Below are 17605 nucleotides of genomic sequence, written 5' to 3' on the forward strand. Positions count from 1 at the left end.
AGGCCTATAATTTCTTCAAAAAATGTTTGATAATTTTCAGTGAACAACTCTTGCAGTTCCTTTGCTAAATTTATTCCTAAGTATTTTATTCTTTTTGATGCTATCATAAATGAAACTGTTTTCTTAATTTCATTTAGATTTTTCACTGCTAGTGTACAATTTCTGTATGATGACCTTTTGTCCTGAAACCTTGCTAATAGACAAGCTTTAATTTGCATGTGTGTGGATTCCTTAGGATTTTTCTATATTTAAGATCATGTCATCAGAAAATAGAGATAGTTTTGCATCTTCCTTTACTGGATAACTTTTATTTTTTATTCTTCTCTAGTTGGCCTACTAGGAACTCCAGTACAATGTTGAATAGGAGTGACAAGAGTGGATTTCCTTGTCTTGTTCCTGATTTTAGAGAGAAAGATTTCAGTCCTTTACCATCAAGTATATTGTTGACTCTGGATTTTCCACTGAGGTTGAGAAATTTCCCTTCCATTCTTAGTTTTTTTTCACATAAAATAGCATTAGATTTTGTCAAATGCCTCTTTTGTATCTGCTTAATAATGTGGGTTTTGTTCTTTAGTCTATTCACACAGTATATTACATTACAATGGTCCTCCCTCATTAGCAGTTTTGCTTTCTGTGGTTTCAGTTACCTGTGGTATAGTACACTAACGTATTTTGAGAGCAATCACATTCACTTAACTTTTATTATGGTCTATTGTTATAATTGTTATCTCTTATGATATCTAATTTATAAATTAAACTTTATCACAGGTATGTATGTATAGGAAAAAACAGAATCCATAGGGTTTAGTACTAACCATGGTTTCAGGCATCCACTGGGGGTCTTGGAATGCATCCTCCTCAAATTTGAGGAGGGGAGTACTGTAATTGATTTTTATAGGTTGAAAAATACATACTCTGTTTTAGAATTCTGTAAGTTATACAGAACAACACTTAAAAGAGTTATTGTAAATATAGAGCAAAATAACTGGCATGAAAGCCTACTTCCTACTTAAGACAGAAGAGTGTCCCCTAGATTTCTGTGTGACAGTATGAATGGTTCAAGGATATCTGTTTCAGGTATTGCTTTGTATGTTTTACTATTTCATCCATATTTTCTGTTCCCATCCACTATAAATAAAGCTAACAAGGAGGAAACTGAAGTAGACAAAGAATTGAGAAAGAGGTTGTGACTAACAAACTACATTATCAACTCCTAATTCACTGACAATAAATGCTAATATGAATCATTGATAGCAATCTTAATGTGAGTAATACATTAGTAGTATTGGCAATAAAACATGTCCCTTTTTGGAAGGATAGATGGAAAACACATTAGGTTGGTGCAAAAGTAACCGCAGTTATTGCCATTAATAAGTAAAAAGGAGAGTAAAGACAGAAAAGGGTAAGCAGTAGTACAGCTAAAAATGGAGAAATGATAATAGCTGTAATGAACCACAAAATGATGCTGTGGTCAACAATGGACCACATATGTAATGATAGTCCCATACGATTATAATATTGTATTTTTACTGTACTTTTTCTATGTTTAGACATACAAATAATTAACACTGTGTTACAAATGCCTACATACTCAGCATGGTAGCATACTCAGTATGATAGCATGCTGTACAGTTTGTAGCCTAGGAATAATAAGCTATATCATACAACCTAGGTGTGGAGTAGGCTATACATCTAGGTTTGTGCATGTATACAATATGATGTTCACACAACAATGAAATTCCCAAACAACAGATTTCTCAGAATTAATTCCTGTCATTAAGTAATGCATGACTTTAATCCCAGCTAAAATCTATCCTTCTCACGAGGGAAGCACTTCCTGCTCCTGACCTCCTTCTCCATCAAGCCCTAAATACATGGTTGATAGGAACTTGGAATTCAACTGCAAACTGACAACTGTTACCAAAATTTTTCTCTTCTATTCACAGAGTGTATAACTTTTTCTTTCCTTTCTTGCATGAAAAAGCTTTCATGTAGACTCGTTTAAGATACAGAAGAGGCTGGGTGCAGTAGCTTACACCTGTAATCCCAGCACTTTGGGAGGCCGAGGCAGATGGATTGCTTGAGGTCAGGAGTTCGAGACCAGCCTGGCCGACATGGTGAAACCCCATCTCTACTAAAAATACAAAAATTAGCTGGACTTGGTGGCGGGCGCCTGTAATCCCAGCTACTCAGGAGGCTGAGGCAGGAGAATCACTTGAACCTGGGAGGTGGAGGTTGCAGTGAGCCAAGATGGCGCCACTGCACTCAAGCCTGGGCAACACAGTGAGACTCTGTCTCAAAAAAAAAAAAAAAATACAGAACAGTTTGGTAATTAAAACTGGGTTACACAAAGCCTTCTGTGTGTGTGTGTGCACATGTATATATGTGTATATTTTTCTTATCTATGTATATAGCTTTTCTTATATAATAGAAATGCTCCCTTGAAAAATATTTGAAAAGTATGAATGGACAGCCTACTATGTGCAATTGCTATGTAATATGGTCATTTACACACCACACACCCTATCCTTAATAGGCAGTCAATTTCTTAAGGATGGGATCCACACATGACACTTAATATTTTGTCTTGTGTACGTGGTAGCAGAAAAAAATATTTTCTGAGAAAACTAAATGAGATTTGGGTTCTAATTCGCCTTCCATCACTTCTTAGCCATGTGACCATGAAAAGACAGTTAAAACTTTGGGTCACAAGTCTATCATCTGTAATCCAGGAAAACTGTGCTGGGATTTCTGGGCCTATGATTAAAGGGAGGGCCAGCCATGTCCTAGAGTTTCTGGTGACCCTCTTCCAAAGTAGCAAGACACTTCACCTATGAGCAGACAAAAGAAGAGACAGGGTTTAAACTAGCCCATATAGTACATATGAGTGAATTAGAAAAAAGGTCCCTCTTCCTCTAGGTCAATGAAGCTCCATGCCAAGGCACGCGGCACAGTGAATAGAGCACAGCTAGGTTTCAGCAGTACACAGCTCTCAGTGTAGCACCCTTGTGGCAACCTCATAATTATCAGAGGGCCTGGAGATGCTGGTGCCAACAGAGGCACAGAGTAGCCATGGCATGGCAGCACTACTGGGCAGATCTAACAGGATCTTTTTCCTACCCTCCTTTGAAACCCACTGCATGCTATGAACCAGATTACCCTGGGGGAAGCAAGCTAAATATACACCAGATAAAAATATAGGCCAGGCGCAGTGGCTCACACCTGTAATTCCAGCAATCTGGGAGGACAAGGCGGGTGGATCACGAGGTCAAGAGATTGAGACCATTCTAGCCAACATGGTGAAACCCCGTCTCTACTAAAAATACAAGAATTAGCTGGGCGTGGTAGCATGCGCCTGTAGTCCCAGCTACTAGTGAGGCTGAGGCAGGAGAATCGCTTGAACCCGGGAGGCAGAGGTTGCAGTGAGATGAGATTATGCCACTGCACTCCAGCCTGGCGACAGAGCAAGACTCCGTCCAAAATAAAAATAAACCCAGTGTGGGTCTTAGAAAGACTCTAAGTGGCATACTCAGTGGAGTTTTTTGGGCGGGCTCCACTGGGAAAGCCGAGAATTGCCTGTTCTGCAATGAGGATGAGGATGCAAGGAAAGAAGATCAGGCCTCCCCTAGTCACTGAACATAATAAAGAGAGATGAGTGATATTTTTAAACAAAAACTGCCTAGTAAATTCTCGGGTTCCACAAATTACTTTCTGTTAACTTAGATTGTTAACTAAACTGGTTGGTTTAATCTCTGAAATATTTTTAATATAAATAATATGTTAAAGACTATCACTTTTCCCCATCTTTGCTGAGCCACCACCATCTTTTGGTAGAACTATTACAATAGCTTCCTGACTGGTCTTCTTCCTTCCCTCTTGCTATCTTACAATCAAGTCTCCACTTTTACCTACATCAATCACATCCCATGACTCCCCTGCTATAAATTTCTTTCATGCAGAGCTTTTCAACACAGTAGAAGTCATTATTTCAAACCTCAGGTCTGTTCCAACTATATCCATGGAAGCTCTGGTTCATCCAGCCACTTTCAGACTCAGATGAGATGCCACATCACTGGACATGCGATCTGGCTTCCCTAGCAGCTGCCCAAGGGTTGTGCCAACACCTGCCCAAATTGTGGTAATGCCCCAAGGATGAACTTTGACCAGTAAAAGACAAACATATTGGGCTGTTCCAAAAGGTGGTAGTTTCACATGGTCTGGCTAGAAGATGCACCATGTACAAGACAACCAGCTCAGATTTTCTGCAAGGTTAAGGTTCCCTTGGTAATATCATTCATCTTTCCTTGCCTCACTTCCCTTTTTCTTTCATTCCTGCTGGTCTTGGTTAGTACCACTCAATAAAATGTTAGGACCCGGGCTTTACTTCCAGCTCTGTTTAATAAGAAAATAGGGCCAAAACCCTAGAAGGTAGGTAAAATGTACCTTCTTTGTATTCTTAAAATACCCAAACATCTCCTCTACAATAGCACACATTCTGGAGTTGGACAGGTAATAGTTTTGTGTCCTTAGGCAGAGTTATTTCATCTCTCTGAGCCTTGTTTTCTTCATCTGTAAAATGAGGATTATAACAGAACATACCTGGATAACAGAAGCTACTAAGATAATCAATGCAATGTAAATTATGCCAGGTACATGAGAAATACTCAATAAGACAGCCATTATTATGATTATGTGTTATCTATCCTTGTATTTCTAGTGCTTAACATAACATCTACAATACAGTAAGCAGATATGTCTAATGCCGAAAATATTTACATACTACATTTCCCTATATTTTAAGAATGCCTACTAGGTAGCAAAGTTTGAGAGATCTGTATGGTTTCAATACGAAAGACTAAGGAGTCTGTAAAAACAAATTAAATATATACATGAATGCTTTCTGAAAAATGTTTCTTTACTGCAAGTTAAAATTAAGTTCATTTTACATGTGTGTTTTCCCTAACTTATCAGGAAAAACAATCAAGTCAAAAGTACAGATGTAGCCAGCTTTAGGCACAGTTATATTCCCAAGAGGATGTGTACAAATCAAAGTTCTGCAAATCAAACCGTATTTCGTATGCATTAAGGAAAAATCACACTTAAAATCACTTCAACAGAGAATGCTTTTGTAAATTGTTTTTGTAAGTGAATACTTCTTCACATCCATTAAATAGGTTGACTCATAAATTTTATCTTAGATTTTTATACAGAAGAAAATATAACCATTGATAATATTAAGTAACAGTGTTGATCATTATAGCTATGATATTTATTTCCTCTAGTAAAGCAAACTAAATAGAAATGTTTCCTTCATAAAGTGTTAAAAAGGAAGATCCCAAGAAATAAAATTATTAGTATTATGAAATTAGAAAGAAAATAAAAACATTTATATATATTTATGCAGCCTTTTGTGGATATGTATGCATACATGTACTATGCACATGTAAAGCCCACACATAAAAAAAGAGAAAGAAAATGAATCAGAATGCTCATATCTGTACGGTAATTTAACAGGTGACTTTTACTGTTCTTATTATGCTTTTCTTTATTTTCAAAATTTCTGCAGTGCACATGTATTACTGTTTAGGGTCTCAAAAAATAGTCTTTTCAAAAAAAAAATGAATCACTCATTTCTGATAGTTTGAATTTTACTAAAAAGTTGGACGAATCACCAGGCTTCACTCTCAGAAAGTCCTTTCACGGAAAATATTTCTTGGTTCATCTGGAACTAATGGCTTCAAGAAAGCAATATTGATATTTCTGACAATCACTTTTATGATCTCCAGTATTCCTGATGGTCAAGCCACATTCCTACCTCTCTGACTCTACTGACAGTATAAAGGCATTGCTCTACTTCCTGTAAGTATAAAAGGTAAACTCTGTGTCCTCAAGAGTAGTTATGCAATGCTCTTAGACAGAATTCCAGAAGTGTGTATCTCTTACAGGAAGACGCACAATTTTCTAGGCAAGAGTTGGCAACCTCAAAGGATTCCTCTTCACAATGGGAGTCTGTGCCTTTGGCTTTCACTGCAAAATACTTACTCTCAATTAGAGGCTTATCATACAGGTAAGAAATGGTTTGTGCAGCTTACTAACTGGAAAGCCTGACTTTCTAGTAAATACTCCACTCTGCAGGTAATGTATTAAGATCTAGCTTCTTTTCTCTTCTCCCTTTGCCAGACTTTTTACTTTAAGCCACATTTCAAGCATCTATAATTATTCTCCTTACTCTAGAAGACATGATATAGGAAAACAAACTATAATGTTTCTCCCAGAAATCATAAGAAAACACACGAAAAATTACTTTCTTAAATCCAACAATTGTACTGGGTATTGCCCATTATCTTTAAAGTTTTGAATCAAAATGCTTCTGGACAGTGAACATATTACAAAAGAAAATGCGACTCAGTATTTAACCTCTTCCATTTCAATGTTTTGCGAGTGTCTCGTTTTTTCAAACTTTTGATAGAGTTTATTTGTAGCACTAACTTAACATACTAACAGCAGAGTCCACAGCATCCAAAATACAGACACATTTATACGCTCAGAGTTGTTTTGTTTCCAGATCAACATAATTAATCATTAGGGAAATGCAAATCAAAATCAGAATGAGATGCCACTTCACACCCATTAAGATGGCTATTATCAAAAAAAAAAAGATAACGAGTATTGGTAAAGATCTAAACAAACTGGAACTTGTGCATGGCTGATGGGAGTATAAAATGGTGCTGCTGCTGGGGAAGAAGTTTGTTCATTCCTCAAAAAGTTAAACATGGAATTACCATATGATATACCCAAAAGAACTAAAATGACTCAGATAATTTATACATTATAATTCATTGCAGCATTATTCATAATAGCCAAAAAGTGGAAACAACCTAAACGTCCATCAACAGATGAATTTGGATAAAGAAAATGTGGTAGTTCAACATCACTGATGATTAGAGAAATACAAATCAAAACCACAATGAGATACCATCTCACGCCAGTCAGAATGGTGATTACTAAAAAGTCAAGAAACAACAGATGCTGGTAAGGCTGTGGAGAAATAGGAAAACTTTTACACTGTTGGTGGAAATGTAAATTAGTTCAACCACTGTGGAAGACAGTGTGGTGATTCCTCAAGGATCTAGAACCAGAAATACCATTTGACCCAACAATGCCATTACTGGATATATACCCAAAGGAATATAAATCATTCGACTATAAAGATATATGAAACATATGTTTATTGCAGCACTATTTACAATAGCAAAGACATGGACCCAAACCAAATGCCCATCAATGATAGACTGGATAAAGAAAATGTAGTACATATACACCATGGAATACTATTCAGCCATAAAAAGGAATGAGATCATGTCCTTTGCAGGGACATGGATGAGGCTAGAAGCCATCATCCTCAGCAAACTAACACAGGAACAGAAAACCAAACACTGCATGTCCTCACTCATAATTGGGAGCTGAACAGTGAGAACACATAGACACAGAAAGGGGAACAACACACACCAGGGCCTGTTGGAGTCAGGAAGGGAGGGAGAACATCAGGACAAATAGCTAATGCATGCCGGGCTTAAAACCTAGATGACAGGCTGAGCGTTATGGCTCATGCCTGTAATCCCAACACTTTGGGAGGCCAAGGTGGGCAGATCACGAGGTCAGGAGTTCGAGACCAGCCTGGCTAACATAGTGAAACCCTCTCTCTACCAAAAATACAAAAATTAGCTGGGTGTGGTGGCATCCACTTGTAGTCCCAGCTACTCGGGAGGCTGAGGCAAAAGAATCACTTGAACCCAGGAAGCAGAGGTTGCAGTGAGCTGAGATCACACCACTGCACTCCAGCCTGGGTGACAGAGCAAGACTCCAACTCAATTAAAAACAAACAAACAAACAAAAAACTAGATGACAGGTTGGTAGGTGCAGCAAACCACCATGGCACGCTTATATCTATGTAAAAAACCTGCACATTCTACACATGTATCCTGGAACTTAAATAAAAATTAAAAAAAGAAAATGTGGGATGTGTGTATACTGATAAACCAATATACACACACAGCCCCCCACCCCACACAGTATGGATCAACCCTTCATATACTACATGAAAGAAGCCAATAACATAAGGACAAATATTGTACGATTCCATTTATATGAGGTATTAGACCAGGCAAATCCACAGAGACAGAAAGGAGAATAGAGGTTACTAGGGGTGAGGGAGATGAGAGATGGGAGTTAGTGTTTAATGAGTACAGAGCTTCTGCTCGGGATGATGAAAATGTTCCAGAAATGCACAGTGCTGATAAATGTTGTTGTGAATGCACATAATGCCACTGCATTGTATATACTTAAAAAAACGGTTAAAGTGGTAAATTGAAAAGAAATATAACTGGCTATTTAAAGAAAAATAACAACAATGTAGTGTAAGTTTACAACACACATAAAAGTAAAATGTGTAACAATAACAGCACATAGATTGGGAGGAGAGAAACAGAAGTGCACTATTATTAAGTTCTTATACTTTAAGTGACATGGTGTAATATCACTTGAGAGTAGTCTGTGATCAGTCAAACATACATACTGTAAACCCTAAAGCAATCAATAAAATTAAAAAAAAAAGAAAGATGGCTAACAAGCCAACAAATGAGTGAAAATGGAACCATGAAATATCAAGAATCAAAAATGTAGCTTGATCCAAAGATTTCTAAGAAAATTCATGGTAAAGGGCAGGAAATATTTTTTATCACCCAGTGAAAGATTAGTTTATTAAAACCTACTCAGAAGCATAATTAAATCAATGAAAATAAATAGTGACAGCACTTACTGCCCAGACCGGTGATGTAAAACCCAGAATTGCAGCCTTAGCTCCATCAGCAACATAAGGAATAATATTTTCTCCCAGGCGCGTATCTCTGAACAATGCTCTAAGGATATTTAAAGCATGAACCTAAAACAAGAAGTTCAAAATTAGTTGTGGGTTGAAAACCATGGCTAATTCTAAATCTACACATATCCAATAGTACAGCTTCAAAACAAAAAATTTACTGAATTACAAGAAATGGATAATCCGCAAATGAAATAGCAGATTTAATAAAACACATCCAGTAGCTGATAAACCATTTTACAAAAAATTAGTAAGATTCAAACAATGCTATAAAAAAGTTTGATCCAATGGACATATGTAGAAGCCTGCACCTAAAATACAGAGACAACACATTCTTTTCGAGCACACATGAAACATTTATTTTCTAAAATCCCTCATACCTAGCCACAAATAAAGTCTCAACAAATACCAAGTAATTAATAACTTATAGATTATGCTCTGATCACCATGGAATTAAGAAACTTTAAAAAAAACTTTATTTTTTATTTTATTTTATTTTATTAGATGGAGTTTCACTCTTGTCGCCCAGGCTGGAACAGAATGGCACAGTCTCGGCTCACTACAACCTCCACCTCCCAGGTTCAAGCGATTCTCCTGCCTCAGCCTCCCGAGTAGCTGCGATTACAGATATGTGCCACCACGGCCGGCTAAGTTTTGTATAATTAGTAGAGACAGGGTTTCAACATGTTGGCCAGGCTGGTCTTGAACTCCTGATCTCAGGTGATCCACCTGCCTTGGCCTCCCAAAGTGATGGCATTATAGGTGTGAGCCAGCGCACCCGGCCTAAAAAAATGCTTAAAATCGGCACATTTTCAAGCACATTAAACACTGGTCAAATTTTTTTTTTTAAATATTTTGAAGACGCTACCTACATATCAATACTTGTAGGATGCAGCTTAAGTGAAATTCAAAAAAAAATGTACATCTCAAATGCTTCTATTTTTTTAAATGACTAGAATGATTGTGGTAAGTGACGAATTAAGTCAAGAGAAAATAAGTCAACAATAAACTTGAAACACAGAAAGAAAATAAAAATTTAGAGCAGAAACTTTTAAAATAGCAAAAACACAACTAAGAGCATTAACAAACCCAAAAGCTGATTCTCTGAAACAGAAATAAACCCCTGACATGACTAACCAAGAAGAGAGAAGAGAAATAAGGCACAAATAAAAAATATTATCAAAGAGTTTGAAGCTACAATGAGCTAAGACTGTACCACTCCACTCAAGCCTGAGTGACAGAACAAGATCCCGTCTCTAAAATAAAAAAATAATAATAATGTATGGTCTCATTTATGTAAAACTCAAAAAAAAGATAAAACTAAAACTAGAGTATTGGAAGTTAGGCTAGTGGTTACTCTTGGAGAGAAGGATGTGGACTGGAAGAGAGCAAGAGGGGGCTTTCAGTTGCTAGAAATGTTCTATTTCTTGATGGCTGCACAAATGTGTTCACTTTGTGAAACTGTACTGAGGTACACATATGGTTTGTACACTTGTCTGTATATGTACTATAATTCCATCAAAAGATGCATATTTAAAAAGACAGGACAGGCACAGCACAAAAAGGAAAACCACAGGCCAGTCTCACTCACAAAACCAGTGAGATATGCAAGAATGCAAAGATAAATTGAAAAATCAATACAATTCATGACATCTGCATTTTCTAGAAGAAAACATATTTATCTAAAAAGATGCAAAAAATATTCAATAAAATTCAATTTCCTTAATAAGATACTGGGTAGATTAAAAATTGCAGCAGATTGATCAGAAACAACATAAGGATGCCTGCTATCTCTCTTTCTATACCAAACTTTACTACAGGTTCCAGCAGCAAAGTACAATAAAAACTGTTTTGAAAAAACTAAAAAATAGAAAGTTAAAACAAACTTAGCATTATTTGTCAAAGGTATGATTATCCATAAAACAAATCCAAAAGAATTTACAGGTAAGTCATTTGCTGTGTTACAGCAATTCTGATAGGCTGCTGAATACAAGCACAATTATAACCCAAAAATTAACTGCATTCTTCTCAAACAGCAACAGATAATATAATCTTTTAAAAGTACCATTCATAATTGCAAAAAAAAAGACATTAGAAATAAATCTCAAAAATAATCTATAAGACGTTTATGGGCCAGGCATGGTGGCTCAAGCCTGTGATCCCAGCACTTTGGGAAGCTGAAGTAGGTGGATCACCTGAGGTCAGGAGTTCAAAACCAGCCCGGCCAACATGGTGAAATCCTGTCTCTACTAAAAATAAAAAAATTAGCTGGGCGTGGTGGTGCACGCCTGTAATCCCGGCTACTCAGGAGGCTGAGGCAGGAGGATTGCTTGAACCCAGGAGGCGGAGGTTGCAGTGAGCCAAGATTGCACCATTGCACTCGAACCTGGGCAACAAAAGCGAAACTCCAACTCCAAAAAAAAAAAAAAAAAAAAAAAAAAAAAAAAGAGAGACTTTTATGGGAATTAGTTTAAAAAATAATAAATGACATTAAATGATCTGAATAAATGGAGAAATAAGCCATGCTCATGGAAGATTCAATACTTAAAAAGATAATTTTTCCCAAATAAATCAATACATTTAAATTCTAACCAAAATTCCAAAAGGGCTTTTTATTGAGTTTAACAAGCTAATTCTAAAATTTTTATGGAACAGCAATAGGACAAACATACCCAAGGTCATTCTGAAGGGAAAACAAAAAAAGAGAGATTCACCTTGCCAGATATTCTAACTTTTTATAAAGACATAATAATTAAACTAGTGGTTTTAGGCCAGGTGTGGTGGCTCACGCCTGTAATCCCAGCACTTTGGGAGGCCTTAGCGGGCAGATCACTTGAGGTCAGGAGTTCAAGACCAGTCTGGCCAACGTGGTGAAACCCCATCTCTACTAAAAATACAAAAATTAGCTGGGAGTGGTGGCACATGCCTGTAATCCCAGCTACTCAGGAGGCTGAGGTGGGAGAATAGCTTGAACCCAGGTGGTGAAGGTTGCAGTGAGCCGAGATCACACCACTGCACTCCAGCCTGGGTGACAGAGAGAGACTCCATCTCAAAAAAGTTGAAACAAAAATAAAACTGTGGTTTTGCTCCAAAGATAGATTAATAGACAGCACAGAAACAGAACCACCTATCTATGAAAACACATAACAGACGCAGTATAAATCAAGAAGAAAAGGATGTGTTATAACAGAAATGTCTCTGTATTAGTTATCCAAATGGCAAACATTAAATTATTTTATTTTACACTAAACAAAGACAAATTACAGGTAATATAAAGACTTGCACGCACTCCAGCCTGGGTGACAGAGCAAGATCCTATCAGTAAAAAATAATAATATGGTTTCATTTACATAAAATTATGACAAGTAAAACTTGAAAACTTTTAAAAGAAAATATAAAATATCTTTCTCAGTCAGGTGTGGTGGCTCACGCCGGTAATCCCAGCACTTTGGGAGGCCAAGGCGGGAGAATCACCTGAGGTCAGGAGTTCGAGACTAGCCTGGTCAACATGGCAAAACCTCGTCTCTACTAAAAATATAAAAATTATCAGGGCATGGTGGCAGAAGTCTATAATGCCAGTTACTCAGGAGGCTGAGGCAGGAGAATCGCTTGAACCTGGAAGGCAGAGGTTGCAGTGAGCTGAGATCGTGCCACTGCCCTCCAGCCTAGGCCACAGAGTGAGACCTCGTCTCAAAAAAAAAAAAAAAAAAGAAAGAAAGAAAAAGAAAAAAGAAAGAAAATATAAAATGTCTTTCCCATCTTGGGGTATAATTTCTGAAATAAGATCCAAATGTACAACCATAAAGGAGAAAGCTGACCTATTCTATTTTATTAAAATTAAAAATATCTACATAATAATAGAGACCACAAAGTAAAAAGAGAAAACATAGTTTGGGAGAATATATATGTAATTCAAATAATCAAAAAGAAATCAATATCAAGAAAATATTTTTGAAACAACAATAAAAATCCAACTCCTACAAAACAAAAATGAAGGGACAAATAACCAATATTAAAGTAAGCAAAGTCTTTCAACAGACAACTTTCATATATAAACCAAAAGGCTAATAAACATATGAAAAGATGTTAAAGCTAACTAGTAATAAGAAAGATGCAAAATAAAACTAGAAAACACCATTTCACACTAAGCAGAAAGTCAAAAACTGTAAAAGTCTGATAATACAAAGGTGTTGATAAGCAATGGAAACTCTTATACTCTGCTGGCAGGAATATAAATTAGTTCAACCACTTTGGAGACAACATAACAGCATCAGATTGAATATGTGTGTACCCTACAACCCTGCAATTCTACTTCTAGGTATATAACCTGGAGAAACACTCACGTGTGTAAGGAGACACACAAGAATGTTTGTTTCAGCATTGTTTGTAATAGAAGAAAACGGGAAACAACCTAAATGTCCATTCACAGAAGGGATGAAATGAAATAGAATAAAATACTGTTCAGAAATGAAAGTGAACAGGGGCTGAACAGGAGCTTACTAATCTTAAAATATAATGTTGATTGACAAAAGCAAAGTATAAAAAGTGTCGAAAACAACATTCATGTAAAAGGAGATAAAAGTATGATGAAAATGCTTGGGAATGATAGTCACTAATTTGGGTTAGTGATTATAACTGAGGAGGAATAAACGGGAATGAGATGTGGAAGAATCCACAGCATAACTAACGGTCTCTGTAATGTTTAATTTTTTAAACTGGAACTGGTTTCAAATATGTTCATTATTCACTATACATTTCTGTATACTGAAATATTTCAAAGATACATAATAAAAATAATAAAGAAATGAACCCTGGGAGGGGAGAAGGAAAGCAAATTATCAACTAAAAAAGCTTAGAAGACTGGTCAGAGACAAAATTTTTAAATCTCACCAATTTCATAAAAATGATCACTAAAATGCCATTAATCACCTTGAAGTAGAGTAGGGCAATAATTATCCAGCACTCGTTAAAACCAAGCCCCATTATTTTTAGATGTTCTTATAAAAATAGCACAGGTAGAGCATCCCAAATCCAAAAATCTGAAATCAAAAAAGCTCCAAAATCTGAAACTTTTTAAAGCACGGACATGACATTCTAAGGAAATGCTAATTGGAGCATTTTAGATTTTCAGATTAGAGATGCTGACCTGTTCAGTATAATGCAAATATGCCAAAATAATAAAAAAAAAAACTGAACTCTGAAACACTTCTGGTCCCCAGCATTTCAGATAAAAGATACTCAACATGTACTTTTTAAAAGTGATAGTCTAGGAAAATAGAACCAATTACATTTTTTTCACATTTCACTGAAAAATGTCTTGAAGTGATCATTTTTGAATGGTGATTAACAACATTTCAGTCAATTTTTTAAAGAAATAAAGACATTTCATATCTATGGGTACTGGCCACTATGTGCCATATGACTATGTTCCATATGACTGTGGAAAAGAATGGGGATTCTTTCCCACAGTCCACATTCTGGCCCATGGGCTCCCTTTATCTAACACTTTGCCAATATCCAATAAACATAAAATCCCCTTTCTTTTCCACAGTCCTCATTCTGGCCTGTGGGCTCTCTTTAACACCTCCCACAGGTTCTGAAATAAAATCATATGTACTTATCGTACTTGATTGTAAACTTCAGCTCTCAATCTGTTCCCTGACCTAGCATGGCCCTTTACAGTTGGGTAGGAGTGTCCTACTATAGGCTGGGCATGGTGGCTCACACCTGTAATCCTAGCACTTTGGAAGGCCAAGGCAGGCAGATCCCTGAGGTCAGGAGTTCGAGACCAACCTGGCCAACAGGTGATTGGGCCTGGTCTCAAACTCCTGACCTCAGCTGATTTGCCAGGCATGGCGGCCCATGCCTGTAATTCCAGCTACTGAGGAGGCTGAGGCATGGGAATCGCTTGAACCCAGGAGGCGGAGGTTGCAGTGAGCCACGATCGCACCACTGCACTCCAGCATGAGCAACAGAGTGAGACTCTGTCTCAAAAAACAAACAAACCAAAAAGGAGTGTCCTACTATGAAGCATTAACTGAGGAAGTCCAGACTATAACGTACAAGCAGTACTTGATAGTTATTAATATTTACTCCCTAGTGGTGAAGTGGAGCTATGAGGAGTGCTTTAACTTCATATATGTAGGTAGTGACTAAAAGGAACTAAATGCTAGTAAAATATGAACACCCCAAAAGGTAGATACCATATTTAAAGGAAATTTTCAACTGCTGAGTTACAAAATGTACATCAACGCAAAGAAGCACACATGAAATTCTAAAGTGCTAGCATATGCACTTTCAAATTCATAGATGCAACAGTATTATAAAATATCTTATATAAGCTGGATGTTTTCACCAGAGTTTAAAAATTGTTTGCTTTGATTAATATATTCAACTAAAGCAACGGTTTATTTTGTGGATGGTAAAGACAAAAAAAAAAGAAGGAGAGAAAAACTATTCAAACAAGCTTCAAATGTCTGTCCAATGTTCAAGAGTTCTTTATCTCCAGCAGAAACTTTTTGTTAAAAAATAAAGCAAAGATTTAAAACAACTGCAGGCGGCTGAGGCAGAAGAATTGCTTGAACCTGGGAGGCGAAGGTTGCAGTGAGCTGAGATCGCGCCACTGTACTCCAGCCTGGGTAACAAGACGGTAACAGCCGTCTTGAAAAAAGTGAAAAACAAAACAAAACAAAAAACAACACTGGAGGGTTTGTGTATTTCCATGATTACCTGGGGGACTGTACTCTGTATGTCATCTGTAGGCCCAGCCAAAGAGATTAACTCTTTCATTGTTATTTTCAACAAATCCATTCTGCCTTTCTTTGGTTCAGATGCCAACAGTGCCTATGGAAAAAGAATGCAAAAATTAACAGGGTTCTTAGTTTACATATACTTGTTTGCTGCTTCCCTGGATCAATCCCAAAATGCAAAATCCCCTTAATAAAAACATGTGGTTATCAAAGAAAGTTAATTAAGCCATGTGGCCGTGGGCAAGTGGTTTAACCTCACAGTTGAACCTACAGATTCTTCATCGCTAAATTTAGGTGAAGGTGAAATCATGTCATCTCTAAGGTCACTTCCACTTTGCTCATTAAATTTTATAATTCTAAAAGGCCAAAAAATGGCTCTTATTGACAACTCCTTAAGAATCCTAAGTAGGTGGCAGCTCTGATAAAATAAACAAATCAGTTTCAGTAACAAATTTATCTAACAAGAAAATTCTCTTTACTTAAAAAGCAAAAAATCTCTGGATTAAAATTCTTGTAAGAATGTTAAGCCTCCCTGGAGATGAAGCAGTTAGTTAATTCTTCACAAAAGAATCATTACTTGGAGGACTAATCAAATCAAAGCATTTGAAACTCCATGGAACAAAAAGAAATACTGCAAACACCAAAGAGGTCCTATATTTGAAATTTTCAGTAGCTTCTTACTTACTTTGTATCTAACACTTTGCCGATGTCCAATAAACATAAAAATAGGGTATTAAGCCACTTGAGGCAATAAAAAGGAATGAGGTACTAATATATATTACAACATGGATGAACTCTGAAAACATTACGATAAGTGAAAGAAGCCACACACAAAAGATCGTATACTGTATGATTCCATATATATGAAATGTCCAGAAAGGGCAAATGTATAGATCTGGAAGGTAGATTAGTGATTGCCTAGGGCTGAGTGGCAGGGGTAGAGAGAAATGGGAAGTGACTGCTAATGAGTATGGGAGGTTTCATGGGTTGATGTTCTAAAACTAAATAATGGTTGTACACCTCTGTGAATATACTGAAAACCACTGAATTGTACACTTTAAAAGGGTGACTATATAGTATGTGAATTACATCTCAATAAAGCTGTTAAAAAATGTCACTTTAGTCACATTCCCAGACTCCCTTTCTCCATGTCTACTTTTCATGTTTGTAGCTACTGGCTCTCAAGAGTGAAAGTTACAAGTTAGTTAGCTTCTTCTGAAGCATTTGAAAACTACAGAAGAGGAAAATAAAGACATACAAAAAATAGTTTGATTTAGAAGAAATTTCTCATAGTTTATTTAGGCTCAGATAACATATATTTTTTAAATGACTATTCAAAAAAACTTTATGTCTATATTGAAAATATTTTTTAATCTGTCTACACAAAAGGTAAACTCACAAACTAAGTAGACAGTTCTTTTCCATAGCTAACACTAAGCAGATTTCCACCAAAACAGGAATATAACTTTATTAGTAAGTCACGCTAAGAGAAATGAAGACTCTCTTTAAGCAGATTTTTAAAAAAAAATTTAGACTTCATTCAACTAAAAAAAAGCTACATTCAATTACTAAAATGACTTCAGGGAACCACGGCTTTTTTCTCCCAAAGAGCTAGGTAAAGTTATGGCATTCTTGCCAAGGCTAGGGTAAGAAAGTACACCTACTGATTACTCATTATGACCAATACTTAGTATAAGTTGGGCACCAGAGCTGAAAGAAGCACACTGCACAAATATGCAGTGAGACCTTGATCCTGTCTTAACATTTGATCTCAGACAGACAAATGACACGTAAAAACACAAGGTCAGAGTGAATTAGAGGCAGGAGAATGAAACACACTGATACAGAATGGGTCAGATCAAATAAAAGTTGATTTCTGAAGGTCACCAAAATCCATTCAGCAGAACTACTTCAATGATCTCTGTCAACAACCTCTGCAACTGATGCCCACTGTCACCAAAAAATCATAAAGGGATTT

The 17605-nt window shown here is 36.6% G+C and overlaps 1 protein-coding gene and 1 pseudogene across 7 annotated transcripts in view; one reads left to right on the forward strand and one right to left on the reverse strand.

Annotated features, from left to right (window-relative positions):
* The window catches only part of THADA (THADA armadillo repeat containing), a 365188-nt gene that overhangs the window by 259164 nt on the left and 88419 nt on the right, over nucleotides 1-17605 (reverse strand). For all 7 annotated transcript variants that reach the window (NR_073394.2, NR_144316.2, NM_001345924.2 and 4 more), the window contains 2 exons: nucleotides 15608-15721; nucleotides 8819-8941 (listed from right to left, as the gene is read on the reverse strand). Coding sequence is in view for 5 of the 7 variants with exons in the window: in NM_001345924.2 (NP_001332853.1) it covers nucleotides 8819-8941; nucleotides 15608-15721 (237 nt within the window). In the remaining 2 variants the exon portion in view is untranslated. The remainder of the gene's footprint in view (nucleotides 1-8818; nucleotides 8942-15607; nucleotides 15722-17605) is intronic.
* Nucleotides 2018-2299, forward strand: RN7SL531P (RNA, 7SL, cytoplasmic 531, pseudogene; annotated as a pseudogene).

This window comes from Homo sapiens, chromosome 2 (assembly GCF_000001405.40).
Source record: "Homo sapiens chromosome 2, GRCh38.p14 Primary Assembly".
Classification (NCBI taxonomy): Eukaryota; Metazoa; Chordata; class Mammalia; order Primates; family Hominidae; genus Homo; species Homo sapiens.